This window comes from Homo sapiens, chromosome 12, assembly GCF_000001405.40.
Source record: "Homo sapiens chromosome 12, GRCh38.p14 Primary Assembly".
Lineage (NCBI taxonomy): Eukaryota > Metazoa > Chordata > Mammalia > Primates > Hominidae > Homo > Homo sapiens.
This window is the reverse complement of record NC_000012.12, coordinates 84,161,677-84,186,896: the sequence shown is the minus strand read 5'-3', so window position 1 is coordinate 84,186,896 and position 25,220 is coordinate 84,161,677. Positions and strand designations below refer to the sequence as shown.

General features: G+C 33.0%; 1 long non-coding RNA gene and 1 pseudogene across 2 annotated transcripts in view; both read left to right on the top strand.

Annotated features, from left to right (window-relative positions):
- Positions 1–320: 320 nt before the first annotated feature.
- The window catches only part of LOC107984536 (uncharacterized), a 297,729-nt gene continuing 272,829 nt past the window's right edge, over positions 321–25,220 (top strand). For both annotated transcript variants that reach the window (XR_001749235.2, XR_001749234.2), the window contains exon 1: positions 321–431. This is a non-coding gene — a long non-coding RNA (uncharacterized LOC107984536). The remainder of the gene's footprint in view (positions 432–25,220) is intronic.
- Positions 3,449–3,573, top strand: LOC124900326 (uncharacterized; annotated as a pseudogene).

Sequence of the window (25,220 nt, the reverse complement as noted above, 5' to 3'; positions counted from 1 at the left end):
TGAATAAAGGTACACCATACTTAGAAAGTCATTATTTAACCATAATTCTTACTCCAGTAGTAAAAATACTAATACATAAAATTAATGCACTTTTATTTGTAGTAATACATACATATTTTATTTACATATGCATGTTTTTTCAACTAACAGATTAGGTAGAACATTATAGCCTACATTAATAGAATATAACTACTAACTTGGCAATGATTCCTACATCTTGTGGTTATGGATCTGGTCTCCATCATCTTTATCCTACTATACTCTCTCTGACAGTCTGTGATACAAGATAGATTTAACAGCCTGCTTTAAACCTTTGGAATGTGTTTTTCCAAGCACTAGTACCAGCATCTAAGTCTACCTCCGCAGCAAATTCTGGTCAGTATTTGATTAATTGTTTGGCTCACAGGTTGATTAGTCAGCCTCTGCTACAGGTATGTCTCATATTCTAATGCTATTTTATGGCTTCCTAATTATTAAAATAATTTTCTTTCTTTTATACAACTTATGTTTTATTCATACTGATTGACAAATAATTTACCTTATTTAATTTTGTATGACATTTTGTCAAGACCTCTCTGTACTTCATAAACCTTCAGCAGTATGAAAAATTTGTATTGTGAGACCATGGCTAGTATAAATAACTTTTATGTGTACATTTAAATCAAGTAAATTAGGAGAACCATTATTGCCAAGGAAATGGATTCTGAAATGCAATAGAAAAAATATTTCTCTACCTATCAAAAGTTAGATTTAGACTTGATTGTTTTGTGTAGATATGTGGTATACATACATATTATATATACTGTATTATATATCATATGTAAATATAAAACATATATAATATATACATACTTCACAAATTAGTTCATTACAAAACATTTGGAAAATATAAAGAAAATATTAATATTTTAGGTACCTGTATCTAATCCTGCTTTAATTCTTACTGGAAGTGCGGCATTGGGAGAATAATTAATCCCTTATAACATTAAAATGGAAATGATACTAGTACATCGCTCATGTAACTACTAAGAGGCATACATTAATATTTTAATACTTGTGCACCCAAATAATAATTATTAAAATTTCCTTTTAAAAATTCCTGTCATTAAAAATTACATTTTGATTATATTAGGACAATCTCAAGATAAATTGAGTTAGTTTCCTCTTTATATTTTTTCTATTTTTTTATAGTTTCTGTTTCTTATTCTTTTCCTTACATATGCTAAGGTCTTTCATAGAAGCTATTAATTTATTTGCTATATCAGTTGTTAGCAAAGATTATATATTTTAAAATCATATTGTTTAATAAAAAGCTTAAATATTTATAAGTATGTGGTAATTTATTCTTACATATATATTTATGTGTGCATACTCACATTTATTTCAATTTTTTCCTTAGATAGAATTTGCCATTGATTTGTCACATATTTTAAATATAACCATTATTTTTTACTGCATTAAATATAAAACATCAACATAGTGATATTATTAATTAAATGTAAATAATTAAATTTAAGCCAAGTTTAATAATTAATAACTTGGCGCTAAGACCAGAATAGACAAATATATCAATAAAGGAGAATAGAACCTGAAATGATTTATAGAAGAATAGCCTAAATTTAAAGTGGTATTTTATCAAATAAATAATAAAAATATTTTAAAATTACAAAGTTTCCATTATGTCATCTTCTTTTATTTTTAAATAAGTTAAACAATTTTGTGTTTGTTTCCTTAGTTTATTTAAATAGGTTTCTACATTTATTTGTGTGTTATGTATTTCTGTAAGTATTATTTTGCTTTTTACATTCTTGTGTTATAGATTAAGGGGAAAATGCTTACTACTATCTCACCAATGAAAAACCACATGACATCCTAGAAAATAACTTGAAACCCAGCTCCATATTTTATTCTTCATGGTTTTCTGTAATAACTATGCCCAACAGAAGTTTCTGTGATAACATGAGTGTTCTGTATCTTCCCTGTCCAGTACAGTAGTCACTAGCCACATGTGATGACTATTGAACACTTGCAATGTGACTAACATGACTGAAGGTCTAAATTTTAATTGTTTTTATTTGAATTAATTTTAATTTCAGTGGCCACCTGTGGATTGTTCTATTGTGAAAATATCTGGATTTTTGTAACATTACTTCCACATTGCTTTTTCTTACTCTTCTGACATTTTGTATACATCATCCCTAATTTGATATCTGGCAAATTCATAACCGTGACCTAAGCATTGTAATTATCAAGTATAATGATCAATAATTGCTATATATACCAGTTAAAAAGAAGGCAGGCACATATACTGTGATATGTAACTACTGGTAATATAGAACAATGTCCTCAGTGGACTGTTAAGAAATAAGAACTAATTGCTCAACAGTATAAATAGTAAAATTTTATTTCTGTAAATAATAAGCATTTATGTGCATCTGTGCTTGTGTTTCTGCTTTTCTATGTGATTTTCAATACATTTTAAAGGATGATTTTAAAAGGCACGTATTGTCACCGTTTGCTGATGGAAAGTTTGGAATAGAACATAGCATGATTTCTGCCTCTTGGTAGCTTTACTCTGTCTAATGCCCTCCTCTTAAGTGTGAGTGGAACCTGCGGCTTGTTTCCAACCAACAGAATATAATAAAAGTGATGAGATATATGTAATTATGTGCCTGTGTTACTCTTTATAATAGCATATAAAAGGTCATGTCTGATTTATCCATAGTAGCTAAGCATAGCAGCTAAGCATACTACACTGTGTATGCATACTACAGTGTAGTATGCATAGCAGCTAAGCATACTACACTGCAGTGCATGTAGGAGGTTCTCAATTTATTGAAAGAGTGGATAAATAACAAGCACTGTTTGACTAAATAAATGTTATTGAAAAATTTTTAGCTTTTAGCCTTGTGAAGAGGCTGTTTTCCTCACTGGCTTTAAATAATCAAAATAATCAAGCTGCCGTGTAGTGAACTTCCCCTTGGAGAGGACCACATGTCAAAAAACTAAAGGCACCATCTAGCCACAGTCAGCAAGTAACTGGGGCAGGCATGCTGGTATCCTGCAATAAACTACAAGTTACCACAAGCCATGTGAGCTTGGGAAGAGATCAAAAAATGGAAAAAGAGTAGATGAGTCTAAACATGCAAGGCATGTGAAGGTCATGTATTTAAGCTTAACAAGTCTTGAATTTGCCATATTGGCAATAGATAAAAATAGAAGGCTCTTAGCTGGGAATGTACGTTAAGAATATTACTGATGAAAGATGAAGAATGTCTAATGACTGTACCAAGCAAGAGGGAAAACTACTGTCTCCTGCAAAAATAACAATGAGATGGTTAAGAATCTGAATCTGGAAACTGAATATGGAGAAAGGAAAATAAAGAATGTTATGGAATTAAATTTGTGCTATTATATGCCAGAATAAACACTCAAAAGCTAAGTTCGAGCTGACACTAGAGTAACATCCTGACACAGCTCTTGTCCTGGTGTGCTAGAGTTCTCGATGAATCTACTGGTCTTGATTCACTGGCAGGAGCAGTGACTGTGTTAGTATGCGTATCTGAAACATGGCCTACCTAGATCCCAGAAGGTGTGGGTTGGGAGGCATCTTTCCTCATACTCATCAGGGAGTTGGTACCTGCTATGGTGTATTATAAGCCATTTCTCTGTTTTTCTAGGCCTACTAAAATGTTCTGCCTGGGGAAGGAAAAGTTCCCAAAGCAGCCTATCATCATGAAAGCCAAATTCTTCAGCAGAAGAGCTGAGAAGATTAAAAGCGTTTATGAGTATGGGGCTAGTCTTGGTTACTTAAAGTCACATGGGGGGAGGTTTATTAAATGTTAACAAATGCTTTTTAAAAATAGCTGATGTAGAAAATTCTGTCACTTACATTATCAAAAAATAATGAAGTACCAATCTTTTAAAGATGTATAGATCTTTAAAAGACAGAAATGACAAAACTTTATTCAAAAACATAAAAGATGATAAACATAAATGAAAATCTGAAAATCGAATTCTGTTCATATATAAGAGGCTTAATATCATGAACATTACAGTTTCTCTAAAATACAATCTACAGAGCCAATCTAATTCCAAAAATGTTGATATGGTTTTAAAATGAACTTGTCAAGAATAATTAGAATGGGCATAACCAAAACAATTTTAAAAGAACAAGGTGGATGAATAAATATATCCCTACCAGGATATATTATGTAGTTATACTAATTGTAGTAAAGTATGTTGACATTGGAATAGATAAATGGACCAACTGGTCATAATAGAGAGCTCAGACACAGATTCACACAATTGTGGAAAGTTTATACGTGACAGAAGATTTAAGAATTCAGCAGGAAAACACAAATGGTGATGAGACAACTAGTCTTCTTGTGAAAATAATAATAAGCAGATCTCAATGTTGCTGAAAGTAAACTCCAGGGGTATTAGATAATTAAATGTGAAAATAAAGATGTTAACTACTTAAAAAGGATATATACGGAAATATATCAATACCCTTGTAGCAACAAAAAACTCCTAGAGATATTGAAAAAAAATAGGCTAATGAATTTAAATATACCAAAATGAATATATTCTGTATATTATAAGGCAGCAGTCAAAAAAAACATATTTTATCATATATAACCAAAATAGAATTAGTGTCCATGAAATGTGCTAATAAATAGAAAACATTTTTAAGTCTATTAAACCTAATAAGCACCACATAAATGTTAGTTATAAGTATCATTCTTTTATGAATATATAAAGAGCTTCTTAAAGTCATAATACAATAATCTAAGAAGCATCATATTTATATAAAAGTGAGCAAAGAATATGAATAGCAATTTGCAAAAAGAAAAATAAAATGGCTAATAAGTATGTTGCAATCTCATTAGTAATCAGGGAAATACAGATATCATTTCTATCCAGTAGACTGGGAAAAATTAAAACAATTTTATTGCATCTTATCAAGACAGGGTCACATTCTGTCCCCTAGGCTGGAGTTAAAGTGTGTGACCATAGCTCACTTTAGCTTAGAACTCCATGTGATCCTTCTGCCTCAGTCTCCCAATTAGCTGGGACTAAAGGTACACGCCACTGCCCCTGGCTTTTATTATTATTATTATTATTTTTTTTAGAGATGGGTTCTCACTCTGTTGCCCAGGCTGGTCTTGAACTCCTGGCCTCAAGCAATTCTTCTGCCCCAGCCTCTCAAAGTGCTAAGATTAAAGGCATGAAGCTGGCAAAACAATTCTTAATAATAGTTGTTAATAAGGTTGAGGGGCAATGGAAATCTCATTAATTACAGGAAATAAAAATAGATTCAACCACTCTCTAAAGCTATTTAACAAAAGCTTAGGAAAACTGAAAACTAACATATTCTATACCCTAGTGATTTTACTACTAGTAGATACTATATATAGCTTTAATACATCTGCACAGTGTGACATTTATAAGAATATTGCTGCATTTTTCAACATTTAAAAATTAGAATTAATCTAAATATTCTGTAAAATTCAAATGGACAAATGATGTTCTGTTTATACTCTGGCATATCACAATTAATAAACTAGAGATACAGATATCAACAGGAACAAATTTCAAAAACATAACGTGAAAAAATTCAGGAGGTATATACGATGTCATACCTTTTATACAAAATTTTAAAATATATAAGCCAGTGTTATATATTTGTAAATAATGAAAATAAGTAATAAATATAAATAATAAACATCAAATTCAGAAAAGCAGGTACTCAAGAGATGAAAGGATGGTCATGTGATCAGAAAAATATACATAGAGAGAAGTCTATATATATAAGTAAATATATAGAGAGAAGTCTTCAATTTTTAAAGCTATAATTTATTTAAAATAGAAAAATAAATCTGAATTAAACACAGCAGAGATTAAGATCTGACCATCCATACAAAAATAAATATATATGTTATATTTTTCGAATAGCTAATGTATGCTTAAAATATTTTATAGTAATTACAGAAGAAAAGGGTTGATAAATGTAGAAAGATAATACAAGCCTAACCTTGACAATTGTTAGATTTGTTGTTAGGGAGAACAGACAAGCAAGGTCAAAGAAGATTGGGAGAATAGGACAAGAATTCTGTCATAAACAGGAAAGGGGGATTCAAGAGAAAGAAATTTTCTGGAAAAATAATACATTCAGCTTGCCAGGAAAAAGTTTCAGGTACATCAAATATCTATAGTTAGTAATTCATACCATGAGTTGAATATAAAGACAGATAGGATATAAGATGCAGTTCTGGAAGTTATCAATGTAGAAACTATACAAATAGACGAGAGTAAGGGAGTAATTGAAAAGAAGCAAAACTTTGAAAATTATTATTTGTCTATGGCAATCCAAAATTGCCAACAAAATTAGACATAAACGCAAGAATAAATAAGAAAGGCATTATCAAGATAGAATTTAAAGAATGCGCAACAGTGTATGGATTTGTAGGAGTGGGGCAAGTTGGTTGAGAGAAAATCAAGGGAGAAAGAGGATTCAAGAATAACTAGAAGATCACATGCCTAAGGATACCACTTTCTCTAGTAATTTTTATTTGTGGGCCTCCTGATTATTCCTTCTTTTATACATTAAGGCAGCAAGTAAAGCTTTGAAATCCAACTACACAGTGACAGCTTTATAAAATCCAATGTGAAGGAAGGGTTACTCTGACACCTTCATACTTCAAATAAATTTGTTTCTAGTAGAAGTAAAGAATTTTGTTAGCTACATATGGCTTTACACAAAAAGTGCTGCAGATACGTAGTAAAGCTATTCTGTGGTTTTGGCATCTAATAGAATAGCATTTATTTCTACTTTACCTTCAGTTTTTACTTAAAATATTACATTTTCGTTTCTATCTACTCCAGTTAAATTTGTTCTGACATAACTCTCTAACTAAAGGTGGCCACATGAGTTCTTATGGTTTAACAGTAATGTGATAACATTTTTACTCTTTAAACATAATATTTACTAACATGAATAATCAGTTTTGACAGTAAAATAAATTTGTGTATGAAGAAAATACTCTTTTACTAAAAGTTAAATGTATTTAAAAGTAATAGAATATCTCTCTTAAAAAATTTCATATTGTTAGTCCATGACATAGACGCATATGAGAAGTGCAGACTTCAGTTCTGTCAATGTTTGAAAAGTTATTTTGAAAATGCCCCAGTTCCAAGACATAAGATATGCTTGACAATATGAAGTTAACATAGTACAAAATGCACACCTGAATATGTAAGGAAATAAGAAAACTTTCCAGAGGATGTAAACAGTAGAAAATTAGAAACCACTGTGATAAGCCCTTGCAGAAAATCTGGTAGGCCTGAGAACTTTTGATGATTTCAGAAACCTAGAGACTTGAGTTATAATATTGCTCAGGGATAGGAGATGGAGTTGGAAGCCTTAGATCTACTTCAAGTGGTAAATGGGCAGACAGATCCCTCATAGAACATCTAGAAGTTTAAAAATTGAATTTAAATGTGCAAAGTGTCAAGTATCAGATTGTACAGAGGACACAAAGACATACAAAGGAAATACAAAAGAGGGTTAAAAATAATATAATAAGGGTCCAACGTAGTTTCTGAAAATCTAGAAAATAGTGAGGGATGATGGACATGAAGCAGAATAAAACAAAACTTCCACCCCTAGATTCATCATAGTAAAACTGCAAAATAAGAACATCTTAAAAACAGCCAAAGAGGAAAGAAAAAAGAAAAGGTAATCAACAGAAGAATTGCAATAAATTTTCAAAAGAATGAGAAGAAAAATTGAATTATAAAACTAAAATAGAAGACAAAAGGTTAAAAAAGGAAACATAGCATAAATTAAGGTGGTAAAAATATTTCATATGAATTTCAATTGTCATATATCATAATCATACATAAAATATTCACAAAAATATAAGTTCACAGAAAGGTATACTGAAAAGGGGGAACTTTATACTTGAAAATTACTGAGTGAAATATAAAGAATAATTATCTTAAATTTATTTTATAAAATATATGTATCCAAAGAAAAAAGAGGTTACTACATATTGAGAAAGTGAATATATATATTTCAAAACATTTATCAAACTACTAATGTGCACTAATTAAAAATGATATTACAATAAGTGTGTGAAAAATACCATAATAGTGGGAGATTTTATCATCTTTAAATAATAGTTGATAAAACTAATAAAAATATGCAATTTGAAAACATACTTAACAAACTTGATCTAATGGACAGATATAAAACATGTCACAGAAGCTGAAGAATATGCATTATTTTCTGAATTACATTTGACCTTTAAAATTATGTATTAATTTCAAAAAGTACTTTCATCAATTTTCAAAGAATCAGTGTCATATAAACTGACTAAAAAAATTAATAAATGTAATTTAGATATTTAAAAACTGATATTATAAATAAAAATTGAATAAACACAAAAGAATTCTTAGAAAAGCTGTTATTGTGGAAAACAACTAAAGCAATAACCAGAAAAAAATGTCTAAACATTGCTTATTGACTCTTTAAAAATGAAAGAAAGTGTAGGAGCTATTCATCTATTTCAAGGTGTAAGACAAAGAAAAGGAAAATACCCTCAAAAAAATAGAAGAAAGGAAATTATAGAAATAAAAACAATAATAAATGTAGATCAAAGCCAGTGAATAAAACTCATCAAATAAACAATTGTTTTTGAGATTTGTTTACTCGCACAAAAAAATGTAAAACAGAGAACTTAAGTTTAGAAACGTAATTATAGACCAATCTCAGTAATGAAAACAGATGAAAAAAAAAAACCCACTAAAACACTAAATACAATCACAACAAAAACCCTAAATCTAAAAATATAAAATAGAGCAAATTCGGAAAAAAAAAACCCTAAAAAGTAGCAAAGCCATCACCATAGTGGTTTTCTCCAGATGTGATGAGAGAAAAAAAATGCTTTCACACTAAATGATATTAATGGACCCATTAACAGAGCAAAAGAAAGAGACCAAGTAGTTATTTCCATATGTTCAGAAAAAAAGTAATTAGATAATTTCAAAATTTGTTGAAGATAAAAACACTTTACAAATCAGCAGGTTAATCAGTTAAGTTGCTAAAGTGACTGCCGTAACCCTATATGTATAGTTTATAGAGACCAATATGAAACCATTTTTTCCTCTCATCACATCTGGGAAAAATCATGGTCATGGCTTTGTTGTCTTCTAGATTTTTTTTTTCTAAATTTGTTTTGTTATTTAGATTGAGGGTTTTCTTGTAATTTTATTTAGTATTTTTGTATCTGTTTTCATTACTGAGATTAGTCTGTAATTACATTTCTAAACTTGGGTTCCACATTTTACATATTCTTCTGTGAGTACACAAATCTCAAAAAAAAGTTTATTTGTTGAATTTTATTCACTGGCTTTGATCTACATTTATTATTGTATTGCTATAATTACTTCTACTTTTTTGGTCTTTTTTTTTTGTTCTTTTTTTCGTTCTTTTTTTGTTCTTAGTCTTACACCTTGAAATAGATGATTAGCTCATATATTTTCTTTCTTTCCTTTTTTAATACTCTATAAACAATGTTTGAAATATGATACATATGAGATAAAATTTTAAAACTTCCCTTTAAAATAAACAACAAAAAAATTAGAGAGAATGATCATTGCCACTGATTCTACCTAATGTTCTGCAAGTGTTTGCTAGTGAAAACTATATATATATATGTAAATAAAGGTTCAGGGAGAAAATCACTGTTTACTAAGATATCTCAATGTGTTCTTCATTGTCTTACACATTTTGTTGCTAATATAAATGATGTCTTTCTAAGTCATATTTTCTGTTTTATATGGGTATATAAAATGCAAGGAATTTCTGAAATTTTATCCCTTTTCATCAACTTTCTATATTGTTCAAGATTTCTCAGTATGCAGTGTTAGGTATAGAAAGTTTAAGTTATAAATTCTCCCCAAAATAATCTACTAGGATTTCTCCAGGTTTTTTAAATAGCCTTTGAGATAATCAATCTAGAGTGTATTTGAATGAATTATACAAGAAGAAGCTTCATATTCTTGAAGATAATTAAATTGAGAGACTACCCAGAAAATAATGGACACCCATTATCTATTTTAACATATATTTTTTTCAATTTAGCAGAAATATCTCTGAATATAAGTGAATATTTCCTGGGCTTTCTTATAATTATAGGCGATTAAGTTCTGTTAAGTGGGACTTAAGTGTTAATGGAAGTGTTAATGGTATATGTTACATCTAGTATCCACACTTAATGGCAGAGAGAATGCTTCTCTCCTCCTAGTTTCTCTTCTGTGTCTAGAATTTGAATTCATTTACTGGGACCGAAGCATGAAGAAGAAACCAGGTATTGAGTTTGCTACAAAAACAAAGTAGTAATACCCTAGGTCCTAATGCTTGTGGAGCTGATTTACTAATTCTGAATCTATCCATTACCTATTTATGTGTGAGAAAAATTTATGTTGTGTTTAATCCACATAAATTTTGAAATTTTATTTTTCACTTACTCACAACTGAATTATATCCTGTGTAATACAGGTGTCGTACCTTATAAGAAATGAAGGGCTATCACAAGATCATCATAATGAAGACAGCATATTGCTAAATTAGAAATTAGTAAATTTGCTAATGTATTACCAAAATCACATAGATCCTTAAAGTAGACCTACAATAAAAATGAGAAATACGTATATTTTAACAGTCACATTATGTATCAATGGGGAACACATGTCTAATCAATAAATGTGCTAGGAAAATAGTATTCCCAGTATTACTATATACTATTTCAAACAATGTTAACTATATTTTGAAGACTGGGCCTTATATCAGATGAGGGGAAGCAAATTATTTGTTGAACACCTTGAAGATATGAGGAATACTTGTTTTTTAAGTTAGAAGGCTGAAAGTTTAAAGACAGTGATATTTTACTTCTGTCTCATTGTTCATTGTCCTATATTACATCATTTAGATAAGTTATTTATTTAATTTGAGTATTATTTCTTAAAGGGTGAATTTGTCTATCTATACCCCAATGGCAAGCTATGTTATGCAAAACATTCATCCTCATAAATAATAAAGTAGTGTTTTTATGCAATTGTTTCAGATCAGCAATTATTTTAACCTAATATACCTTTATATTTTATATATATCAGCCTTGTCTCACTTGACTTGATTACTGAGACTTCTCCTTGAGAGATTGATGATTTCTTCATTTCTGTTTCTGGAAACCTAAGGGCTAGGCTCCAGATTTTAAGGGATACACCAATGTAGTTAAAGATATCCTGTAAACACCCTTATTTGAGATAGCCCCCACACACTTTTCTGAGGCAGTCATACATTTCTTCTTTTTTTTCTTTTTTATTACTTGAAAAAAATGTCCTGCATATCTGGAGCAAGTCTTACATTTCTGGATAAACATTATAGTTTACTAAGGGCCATATTAATCCCAAAATTCGATTTTCTTTTCAATGAATAGTAAGGATAAGATGATGGATTGACACTGTATTTATCTATAATCATTACAGGAGCTTATGGGTAAAGAATATAGGTCAAGTGCCAAAATTCTCAATGAATATAGGAAGTTTTCTGAGAGGTGTGCTGACACATACAATTAAACACAGGAAATATAATTTATCTATCAGTATGATGAGTAAATGCAATAAAAATGGACAATGACCATAAACTATTTTCATGTATAACCAGAATGTTAATAACCTTTCATAACAATGTTACACATTTTTTTTAAATGAAAATACATGATGGAATAGAAAATACTTGGTAAATTCAAAGGTTGAAATTATGGGTAAGCCTATTCCTTAACTGTTTTTAATTGTATTTAAGGCACGTGTATTATAAAATATGAAAGTAAGATCTGTAAATCTGAGAACCAAAGTATTTTTTAGGAAATTTTGGTTAGGATAGAATATCTTATGGCTGACTACTAGGTGTCCCCAGTACATGCTCTCCCTTCTTCCAAACACGTGGAATATTATCTGCTCTTCAAAATATTACATTTTCAGCCTTCTGTAGCTCCACAAACCCATGAGATTAAGTTTTTTTCACTCCTATAGTTGTTGAGTTTAAGTGATGATTACCACTTCCAGGACTCAACTTGAAAAGATTTGCAATGCATTCCTGTGGCCCTCTCTCTCTTCCTTCTGTCTGGATGATGGCACAACCTAGATCAACACCTTTTGAATCCAAGATGAAAGCCAAGTTTTGAAGCCATCAGTACTACCGTATCGAACCTGGGTCCTATCCATTAGGATTAGTGGAAGTAAATTTTTATTTTTTATGCACTGATTTAATGGTCCCTTTCTCTTTTCTGGTTAACAGAAGCTTATCTTATACTCTAATTAATAAATATGTCAAAACTTATTGATGGCAGTGGTGGCCCATCTGGAGCAGCTGCTGTAGGGATGCCAGATGCAGCAGGGGAGGCGTGGCTGGGGCTGCAACTTCCATGGACCTACCAGGGGCCAGGAACAACCTGGAGCAACGTTCTCTACCAAGTTAGCAGGGCTGGAGCCCCGCATTCCCAGGCACAGCTGCAGCCACCCAGCCATGTCTCCAGACCTGGACATCCCTACACTCTCGGCCAGGCCCAGGAAGCCCCTCTCCCTCACAGGCTTGAAAGTGCCTGCTCCTGCTGTCTGGCTTTTCCCCGCTCCCTGCACTCAAATGGGGGTGGAACAAAGTTGTGGCCAAGCTGGGAAAGCTGTTGTGACCTGGCCAGGTGTGTGCTCATCCTGGGCAATGCTGACACACCAGCCCCCTTCTGCCTCCACCCCCTCCAGACTTTGGGCACTGAGGAGCATGGGAGGGAGGTTGAGGGAGCATGAGGGTGGCTTGGAATGGGCCTACAGGCGACCCTCAGCATTAACAACCTAGGAGTTGTGGATGGCATGTTGATAGCAGTAGGAGGCAGACAGATTCCTGGGTAGAAAGGGGCAGGTCCCAGTGAAACGCCACCTTCAAGCCAGGGATGGCCTGAAGCCTGGGGCCCGGGCTGCCAGTTCTGGGTGGAGTCCACAGCCCAGACTGAGAAATTATGGTGCTTTTTCTGGGCCCACTCGTGGCTATCCATGGACCAAACAGCACATATTTCCTCTCTTCTAAGGCCATAAAAACCCCAGACTCAGCCAGACTCAAACAGATGTTGGAATGACCTGCCTGCAGAAAGGAGCTACCCATTTCAGGTATCCTGAGAGTTTTACTGTCACTCAAAGAAGCTCCTCTCCACCTTGCTCACCCTCCAGTTGTCCACATAACTTATTCTTTCTGGACACATGACAAAAACTTGGGATCTGCCAACTTGTGGGATTGGAAGAGTTATAACATAATCAGAGCTGAAACAGCACCTCCCCACCCCCGCCCAGTTGCCACATTGCAGGCAAGGAGGAGAGACATTCTGCAGAGCTTGGAAGAGCCCAGACCTAGGGCTTCCCCGAGCCAGGGCTGTGACACCCTCTTTGAGGCTCTGTGGTTTCTGGCATCTCCAAGCTTCCAGGTGTCACTGTATTCCCCTCATCCAGTTGCAGTGCCTGAAGCAGAAGCTGTGTGTGATACATCTGGTCCAGCCACAGCTTGCATGGAGCTGGCACCTATGCCAGCAGCTGGAGCTACCTGCCCTGCCACAGCAGCCGGTGTGCCTGGCTGTGCAGTGGCTAGACCCTGCACTCACTTGTTCACATGTGCCTTGCTGCTCTGGCCCTGGCTTGCCCTTGGCAGGTGTGAGATTCAGGCCAGTAGCTTCAGCTGAGTGCAGCATGCCCAGACAAGGGGGCAGAATGAGCCCAGCAGTCACAAACAATACTCAGGCAAAGGTGCCACTGGCCACAGAGGTATCTGGCTGATGAAGCAACACCCCAAGGATCATGTGACATTATCACTTATTAACTATTTACTGACAGCTTAAGCTAACGTGACAATACTTTAATCCTTAATTATTATTTGGCTTCAGAATACACTCACCGTTAGATTCAGAATATTCTCCCCACATATCTTTTATTTGCTTATTTGAAACTTAAAACTGAAGCATTGCATTGTAATATTTCTACCTGAAAATATTCTGTTCGACTAGCTGGAAATGGGCTATAAAATCTCGTGAGGATTTCTTTAGGCTGACAATATAAACAGAACAGAAGTTTCTAGTCAGCACAAGAATAAAGTTCTCACTATTAACCGCATTACTATTTGTTTATATTGGATTGCCGCTAAAATAACCCTATTTCTAAAACTATTTTCCACTTCTGTTAACCTTTCCTGTACTTTTCTTGGAAAATGAGCAATGTGTTATGCATGAAAAAGCCACTGCATTAAGGATAGAAGTAAAGTTTCAGATTCCACAATTATTGTAGATAGAGTTCCAATGACTACACCTAAAATCACTCATATATTACAGTGTAATTCAACAACTGAATTGTAGAGGCTTTTGCAAGGAATAAAAATGTTGAAAAATATATATTCTCACCTAAAACAATTTACAATTTCTGAGAAAGGCTAAAGTCCTGTTAAATATTGGTTAATGGTGCATTATACACGTGGAAATACATATACACTCCCAGTTCCAAATAGATGCAAATTGTGATAATTTTCACATGCCAGAGAAATACCAAGCAAGTGTAATAGAGGAAACAGTCATTTCCTATATGCTGTACTTCTCATTTACACTTCTAAATATTTGTCTAATGATTTTTTTAACACTGGATGGGGAGCTCCATGAAGGCAAGGAACTTATCTGATCACAAAATTCTCATTGTCTAGCATACAGCAGCTGATTAATAAATATCTGTTCTCTGATGATATATTCTCCATAGCAACTGCTTTGCTTTTATTCACAATCACTGTAAATACTGAAATTGAATATATTGATTGCTTTTTTTTTTGTATTGGCTACTAGGACACTTGAAATTGGCTATATGAACCACTCCAGCAAAGAATAAAAAATTGTGGATATTTTTTGGTATACTCTCTCCCTTGTCTCTTAATGTCTTCCCTATTGCTTTACTTCTTCACCACTCTGCCACTTAAATTTACTTATTTAATACATAGAGTCTCTATACTCTTTCTGGAATGAAGTGCAGGTATATATAAAAATTTAAACAAAATAAACACACAAAATCAAACTGGTTTTAGAAATACCTTGGCAGAATACAAACAAAAAATAGTTTATCTTCAATCACTGGCTTCAACTGAACTATATTCAGTCTCTCAATGAGAATCTTGGAAGACCTCATTGCTCCCCAGTCATAATTATTATAAAAGCCCAACACAGCACAATGCAATTTAAGATTTTGATTTTTAATTTAACTTCCACATTCTCCCCTTTCTATCTTGGATATTGGCCTGGCCTTTGCCTGAGGTTCTTGAAGTCAGGGGTTGGGGGTTGTGGAGTTTCTTTCTCTCTTCTTCCTTTTCTTGAGACCCATGGGATGGTAAGAATCTTGTCAAAACTTTTCCATGTAGAAAGTTTTGTAAGTTTTGAGTAAAATTTTACCCAAGCACTTTGAACCAATAATTTTTAAAAATGACTGAAAAACAGAGTTAGTTCTGCTGTATTCTACACATGGTGAACATCTTAAAGCAATGTATGAGTGGCAGATTACAAAAAATGGGTCATGATTCTTCTCACCCATCTTATGCAAATCCCTTTCAAATGAAATTCTGCAGTCCTTTCCATTTAAAGGTAAAACCTTTCTCCATATATTGAATCTGAGAGACATTGAAACTCGCTTATTCCAGTAGGATTTCTCTTGGGAACCTGGCTGAGACAGCATTTGAACAAGCTCAGGCTACCCTGATAGATGATGAGAGACATATGGCTGGTTGTTCTTACTACTCTAGCTGACACAATGCCAACCATCACATATATAAATAGGGGCATTGTAAGCCCACCTCTCTCAGCCATCCTGCAACTAGCTGGCATCTGACCACAGATGCATTAGAGAATCGAGCCAGGAACAAAAGAAATTATTTGCTGAAGCACAAATTGCCAAACCACAAAATTGTAAGTTAAATTGATAGTGCTTGTTTTAAGCCACCATGTTTGAGTTGGTTTGTAAGGGAGCAATAGATAACTGATACACCGCATATAGATTTTCCTTTCCTATCCTTATTAATCTGCCACAAATGTCTGGAGCAAGTTTCCCAGGTCAATACTATTTTTTTTTAAATCTGGTCTAAATAAATGTACCATGTGATTCTTGACTGGATCCTGGTTTGAAATAATCAGCTGCAAATGATATTATTGGACTTCCCCCAAAAATGTGATTTTGAGAAGTATTTATGATAGTCTTTAAGTTTCTGAGAGATGCATACTGAGCCATTAAGATATTTATATTTACTTACTTTCAAATAATTCTTTAAAACTTTAGATAAAGCAAATAAAATACATTTATATTTCTTAAATCTAGATGTTGTATAGCATTATATCATTTTATATAATTTATATGTGTTTGAATTTTGTCTTAATAGAATACTTAAACAAATAGGTTGTCCTTACTTTCTGGTGAATGACATTTACTGATAATAAATTCTGAGCTATATCCTAGCTTCTGAATTTCCAATGTGGAACATTCTCACAAATCTGCTCCGTCTCACTCATGTCCAAATGACTTAACATGAAATGCTGAGACCTGCAGATTGAATAAAATGACATATTCAACCATTTTTGGTCTCAGCTAGTAAAATCTTTCTATATTATATAGTATATCAATTTTTTATATTCAAATGGCAGATAGAAGTATATTAAATATACCAAATTCTTTGTTTCTGTAAGCCTAATTTATCACATGACTCCCTTTTCCCATTCCAAATAAATTACCTTTATAGTATTAGCTAATACCAGGAAGAATCTAATTGGTATTAGATAATACCCATTGCAGCAATAATCCTTAGTCTCAATACTATCAAATCATCAAATAACTACAAAAATCTTAGTATGCATTGAATTTGGATTAGGGAATGTAATGTGATGGGGATAATATTTGCATCATGTACTTATTTTAAACATGAAATGTGATATGTATTCAATATTTAGCCCAGTGATGGAAATATAAACACTAAACAATGCAATTATTATTATGTTTATGCCTAATTCAACACCATGTGGTCCCTTGATTCATTGAAACAAATATTAATTAGTAGCTACTATGTACAGGCAGTACCTGAGAATTTTTTGGAAAAAACTGGAGTAATAGAAACCTTATGTTCTCAAGAAGCTTTTCATGAAAACTTACATACCAAACAGGGTAAATTAATTTTAGAGTAATGCGCCAGTAGAATGCTATGAGGTTACATTTGAGAATATACATCTCAAACCCTGGAATATAAACTGATTTTCTTCCTTACCTACCTTATCCACCTCTTTGTTGAAGTGCCTCTGTGAGGCATAGGATTTGTTGGGTCATTATTAAGCTGAGAGCAATAATCTTAGTAAAGTTGCTTGGAAAAGGTAAAACAGAACTGAATGTAACTGTGCAGATGAATTCCTCATCCTAGACTGGGAATTACAGGCAAGAAAGTTACAGATTTAACTACAACATTTAAATCTAGATATGATTAAAATTACTTGTAATAATGAAAACATCTTGTCCATCTTAGAATCTGATAATAGAGTAAATCCAAGAATTTACCGAATGTTATGAATTAGCACAATTATTGAGCCCAAATGAATAGATTGTTAATTTTGTATGAATTCATAGAAAGATATAATCTAAGTTCATAAGTTAATTTAAAAAATGCCTGTTAAGTTGTGTTTGCATATGCATAAATATGGTAATCCTACATAATCAAATTATAATACAGATAACATAAAATAACAAAATAACTTTAGATTATATAAAATATTTATTGGCCCTATGAATTGCCTTTATTTTGATCTTCATTAATATGTGGATAACTTCCTGTTGCTCAAAGGCAAGGGAAAATATTCAATGAGAATTAGAAATTTTAAAGGGATTGAGAGACAGGAAGAGAGATTGTACTTAGTAAAGTCAGGTGATAGAGAATAAATCGTTGAAAATCACTGTGATTGATGAATGGTAAAGATGTTGCTAGAACACTAATTCATGGCTAGAAAATCATGTGCTTTGTTAATACACATGAAACTTGAAAATGAAATAAAACTGTAGTGCCACATTTATAGTAACTACTTCATGACTTTATGGTCTTAGAAAACAGCAGTATGCACAATATCTGTTAGTATTTCACATCAAATATTAATTGTCACACTACTTCCTAAAAAACTGTTATTACTTGTCTGCATAAAAATCTACTTTATATCCATTCAGTTTTTCCTCTGTGACAAAAGAAAATTTAAAAAGAAAGCTTTTTGGACAATATGTTATTAAAAGTTTCCATATATTTAAAAAAGTCTTCTCTTGCAATGATTTTAAAACTTGGGGGTAAGTTGAGGTAGAGAAAAGAAGAGAGATATTTGATTGTACACGTTCAAGGATACCAGATGTCTATTTGTTGAAAATTTGTCCACATCAAATCTTCTACTCACTGTGGCATAAAAAAAATGTGAATAGGCAATTAAATACCATTCATCATTTTCCCCACAAATGGAAAATATTTCCAGGCTCAGGATATAGTGCCATTTCATGAGTCTGAATACAAGGGAATATTTTGTCTAATAACTACCAGATTTGTCATCAAATACACTCTTCTGACTACACCATTCAGATTGCTATTCATGTTGGGGTAATGATAAAGTGGAAACTTTCTAGCACACTCTTTTTTTTTCCATCCAACTTTTTACCCCTCACTATGTGTTCTGAATTCTAAAGACAGAGAAAACATTATGATTTTCCAAAATAATAGCACAGAGAAATAATTTACAACCTTTTTTCTAAGATAAAATGGTTGCCCCATTCTCTAAATAGATTTTATTTAAAAGAAAAATATCCCTTTGCAACCCATGGAGTTGTGCAACATTAAAATTGGTTTTGGATAGTAGTGTCTATCCATATGTTAGCAAGTAAGGCACTTATGCACAGTGAGTAGATTTTGATAAGAACAACAACAACAACAAAGAAATAATGAGTTTTGTCTCCCGGATGACAATTCATCAGCTGAACGGTTGAGAACAGCAGTTCAGCTGACAATTCATCAGCTGAACTAGTACACACTTACATAACTGTGAGTTATGTGAGTAGCTGTGAGTGTGTACTAGTTATCACAGTTGAACACAACTACAATTTGATATATTTTTAAGTACTGAAATGGTCTTTGTCCCATACAATATAAAACAAAAGAATTTCCATGTGTCTAGTATTCAACTAAATTTGATGTCTAGCATTTGCTATTTATTTATTTACATATTTTTCCTAATTTGATCTGAAATATCTTTACTTTTTTGGAGCCCTCTTTTTCATAGATTATGAATCACCCAATTTTCTCAATCTGTGAAATAAAAAATGCACCATTTGCAACTCAAATTTCCCTTTATATTATGGCTTAATTGATAAATCATAAAATTAGTATAGTATTAGAGGTATAAAATATAACCGTTTCCCTCAAGCTGGGAGAGCCTAGAATAACCATTAAATGCAATCATATATATATATATATTTTTTTTTTTTCTGGTCAATCTCCCTTGATGACTTTTGATTTCATCCAGCACTATCAATATTTCTTTTATAAACTTACCTAAAAGGATTTATCAGGAAATAGGTAACCCCATTTGTCTCTTCTATTCTGGGTTGATGAGGGTGAAACCAGCTTTGTCTAATATATGTAAGTGCAAAATAGCTTGACTGACCCAGAGAATTCTTCTGTTATATTTCTGCCAACTCCATTCATCAAAATGTTTCCATTTGACACTTCCACCTGCTGAGATTGATTGCTCTATTCCCACTGCTGTTTGGAGAAGTCCTGCATCAAAGCCAAAACTGGAAAAGTCTGCCTGACAACCTAATTTCTTTCTTTCTTTTCTTTTCTCTCTCTCTCTCTTTTTTTTTTTTGGTGACCCTTATGACCTACTTTGTTTCACTGCCACAGACACTACGTGCAGTAATCTTTTTCTTACTTCTCACAGATTTTCATTATCCTAATGTCTACCAGGAACAAGAGAGAAAATGTAGCCTTTCCAGGGGAAGGGCATAAACTTTTTGGAGTAGATTGCATTTCTCACCTATTTATCAATCTACCATCCATCCATCCACTCATCCATTTATCCATGTATGAATCCATCCAGATAATCTTTGTCCATCAATAAATTCACTCTAAATACCTTTGCAAATTTTTTAACTCCCTAAGCATACAAGAGATTGTTTTAATTTCTGGGGGAAAAAGACGAGAGAGAAATTACTAATCAACTACCACCACAAACTACTAACTGCATCAATCATCCATATATAAAAATACTGCTGCTACCCAAACATAAATTCCTTGCTTATTATTCCATTATAAAAATGGATTAGCCCTGCCTCCTCATGACCAAATAAAACCCATTATATTATGTGACTCAGAACAGTGTGCAAGAAAAAGTAAATTTTACATGAGATTAACCAATGGATATTATTTTATTAGTAGCATTCTATAAAAAGCTAGAAAAAGGATTAGTGTCCTAAACGAGTATTCTAAATTTCAAGTCACAATGACAAGTGCAAATACTACTTGTTTGTTTCTGAAAAACTATTTACTTATCTGTTATTCTTCTGTTTACATAGTGAGGAATTAGGCATCCCTTGGCATAGATGAAAATTCTGCTCCCTGTCACTCAGTAAAGACCCAGCTAAATCAAGCTTAGACATTTTTAGAAAATAAAACCAACACATAAAATAATGGTAAAAGTTAAATAAAGAATCTCCTTACTATTTACAAGATGCAAATTAGCACTTGTAGAAATTTATCTGGTTAACTATACAAAATTGTTTGTTTAAAATGCTCCTATAAAACCCTTTGCTATTTAAATATTTTTGCCTAGATATTCTTTTATGTCATATTTCTATGACACGTATTTTTGCCAAAGCTTTTTAGTAACTTTTTAAAAAAACCTGTTTCTAATCTCTCTCATTAAACAGTCCATAGTTAGGTTATTCAATGTTTTCATTGTCTTAAAGTTTGTCTTATTTAAGTAATTTTTTTCTTTAGATTGCCAAAGTGCCTTAAGGATGATTAGCCTTTAATCTCTATTGATGGCAGTTCAAAAAATAAATGAATATATTAGATTCTAATCATTGCCTGTGAAATATAATGTTTTCTCTCATAAAGCTCTACAAATTGATATTACTTTTTCATTATTTGATGATTCACATTGGTTTTCAGTGTAAACATTTTAGTTTACATATTTAAAAACCTGCAAACATTTTCAATATTCCTTCCTAATTAATTCAATCTATTCTATGGGCCCTATTTACTAGATAATCATAATATAGCCAATTCAATGTTATTCAGAGCTACATCTTTTTGGAAGCTTAATCTTCATTGCTAACTGCTCAATCAATATTTTCCTGCCATTTCGTCCTTTTTATCTTCTTTCCAAATGATATTTGGATATAAGGGTGGTCTACATAATACCAGGATATATACAATACGTGCAGTTTTATTTCTGCTCACTGGCCTCCAATGACCCTATTAGACCTTTCCTCCTTCCACTCTTCCCCTCCTTCACTCTAGCCATAATGGACTCATTGCTAATGTTTGTACACTCTAGGCATATTTCTCCTATGGGACTTTTGGATTTGCTCTTTTCATACTTCCTATGCCAGGTATACATGTAAGTGGCAGAATGATATGGTTTGGCTCTGTATCCCCACCCAAATCTCATCTTGAATTGTAGCTCCCTTAATTCCCATGGGTTGTAGGAGGTAATTGAATCATGGGGGTGGGTCTTTCCTGTGCTGTTCTCTTGATAGTGAATAAGTCTCACAAGATCTGATGGTTTTATAAAGGGGAGTTTCCTTGCACGATCTCTCTTTTTGCCTGCTGCCATCCATTTAAGACGTGACTTGCTCCTCCTTGTCTCTGCCATTATTGTGAGGCCTCCCCAGCCATGTGGAACTGTGAGTCCATTAAATCTCTTTCCTGTATAAATTACCCAGTCTTTGGATGTCTTTATTAGCAGCATGAAAATGGAGTAATACAGTTTTTATATATATGTGTATATATATATCCTGCAAACCTTTATAGAATTTCTTCCTAAGTAATTTGGTCTCTGCTATAGGCCGTATTTACTAGATAGTCATAACCTAGCCAATTCAATGTTATTCAGAGCAACATCTTTTTGGAAATTTAATCTTTATTGTTAACTGCTCAATCAAAATTTTCCTGCCATTCCATCCTTTTTATCTTCTTTCCAAATGATATTTCAACATAGGGGTTGCCTACATAATACCAGAATAAATAGGATATGTGCGGTTTTATTTTTGCTCACTGGCTTCCAGTGATCCTATTGGATCCTCCTCCCACCACCCTTCCCCTCCTTGACTCTAGCCACATTGGCCTCATTGCTAAAGTTAGTACACCCCAGGCATACTTCTCCTATGGGGCCTTTGCACTTGCTGTTTTCATGCTTCCTATGCCAGATATAATGTAAGGTGCTCTCTCACTACCCTTAGGTTTGTTCTCAGTTGGCATTGTATTAGAGAGTCCTTCCCTGGACAGACTATAGGATACAGGAGCAAATGCTCCCTCCCTCAGCCATTTTTGCCAATAAGTACTTAATGATATCTGGCAATTTATCTATTTACTTCTTTGTTTATTGTAAGTCTCCCCCCAAAGATGTAATTTCCATGAAGGCCAAGAATTTCATTCTATATTTTGCTGTATCCATAGCATCTAGAATAGTGTGCAGCACATAGTATATGTTCAGTAAATGCCCATTGAACAAATTGATAAAAAGAAAGACATAAAAAATTAAAAGGATTTGAGACAATTTTGTTCCCACTTCATCTGCTGTTTATGTCCACAGTCATATTATGTTCTGTTTATATCCTGTTCCATAACACTTGCCCTCAGCTGTGCTTCTGGCCCTTTCAGTTGCTCTTGACCTATTTCTGATGTGCTTCCATGATGTCCTAGGGAGGCAACACTCTCCCCTGCAAATGTGCAGGTTCTTGCGGGGCCAGGACTTCCATAAGGGTCTGGCAAGAATCTTTGTAAAGTAAATCTTGGAAATGGATGTAAAGTAAATCTTGGAAATGGTTGTAAAATTTTCTCTGCTCTGAGGTCTTCCCTGACATATCTGCATCTTCTATCACAAATCTCATCTCACAGATACCAGCCCTGCCAATATCACCTTGACTCTTTTTGCCAGAGTTTCCAAAAAGTAGGTCAGAAAGAATTCATATCTCGTCTCTGAGTGGTAATAAAATGTAATTTGTTAGCAACAATTTTCTACTCTGTGCTTTTAATTATTTGTGTCTTTCTTTCTATTCGAAGCTCTGCACTTCAGACTCTGTTTCTAGTCTATTTCTATGGCTTGAGTTGCATGAGATACCTCCTGTGCCACTGTTATAAACATTCTATGTAGCTCCAAGTGATTTTTGTCACTTATAGCCTTGATAATACAGAAGTATACGTTATTAGGAGGTAGTGTCTGTTGATTACATCAAACTTAAAAATTATTTAAGCAAATTATTCTTTCTCACAGTTTAAAACATGGTAGTTTAAAAAGCAAACACCGGGGTCCATTAATTACTAATTATAATTTCTATGCATGTATAATTTTGGGTAAACTATTTGTGCTTTGATTTACTCATCTGTAAAATGAGTTTTTAATGTTATTAACTTTTCAGAGCTTCTTCAAAAATTAATTAAGATGTATATATAAAGCTCTTAGCCTGGTGCCTGGAGCATAATAAGCATGCAATAAATTTTGATTACTATTTGCTAAATATAGATATACACATATATATGTGTGTGTGTGTGTGTGTGTGTGTGTATATATATATATATATATATATATATATATATATGAAAAAGTTCAGATGAAAAATTCTCACGTCTCTTCCCATTGTACCACTCATCACTGGGGCAATCTTTAGGGGAACACTGAGTCACAGCCCAATTTTTTCTGGCTTTCTTGTCCCACAGTAAAAACAAGCACACAGTAGTATGCATCTAAAGTCAACTTTAATAAATAGGAATTATAAGAGGCATAGTTAAATAAAACTGCTGGAGGCATACATGTAATGAAAATGAAAAGTTAAAAGATAACGATGTATATAAAGGTCCATATGCTTCTTTAGTTCCCCATTTTGGAGTTACCGTCTTTCCACCAAACTTCGTGCTTCTCCAAATATTGGGGAATAAATTGATCATCCAGTTTAACTGTAGCTCCGGATGTCTCTCTCTCTTGTCTGACTGTCTCTAACTCTCTCTTTGTATATATATATACACACACACACACACACACATATGTATATGTGTGTGTGTACATTTTTATCATAAGGCTGCTTAAGTGGTTGGTAAAAACATAAAATATGATAACTAAAATGTGTATGTGTACATTTTTATCATAAGTCTACTTAAGTGGTTGGTAAAACATAAAATATGATAACTAAAATATGTGAGGTCTCTTAAGTACAGCAAGGTTGATTTCCTTTTTTATTTTCTTTATTATACATTTTTGAACATTTGGGAGATGTGTTGAGAAAGTTAATTACCCCATCCTCGTCCCACTGCACCAAGGAATCCTCTGTTAACAGCCTGTGCACATCTTTTCTTTCTTTTATTACAATTTTGAAAAGCAATTTTCTCTTTATGTTTCTTTTTTTTTGTACTTTAGGTTTTAGGGTACATGTGCACAACGTGCATGTTAGTTACATATGTATACATGTTAAATGACGAGTTGATGGGTGCAGCACACCAACAGAGCAAGGTTGATTTCTTATCTTACCATGGTTCAGGTTTTAGAGCAGCGCATCTACAATATTATTAAGTTATCTTGGGTTAGAAATATAAATATGTTAACTACTATAGAACGCCATGTATAAAAATCATTTTTGTTTATGTATTTTGGGCATAATTGCCACTGTAGATTATCAAGAGAAAGCCTTAGTCATAATATGTTTTTAATTGGCCCTTTGTAAATATTAGAATAGTAAGACTTCACTAAGAAACAAGTCTCAGAAAAAAAGCGCTTCAGAAATTCTTCTAATATTTCCATTTAGTGAAACATGATTGAAATCAGTTAATGGTGATGCCATCATTATGCTACAGACCTGTTTCAGAATTGCAA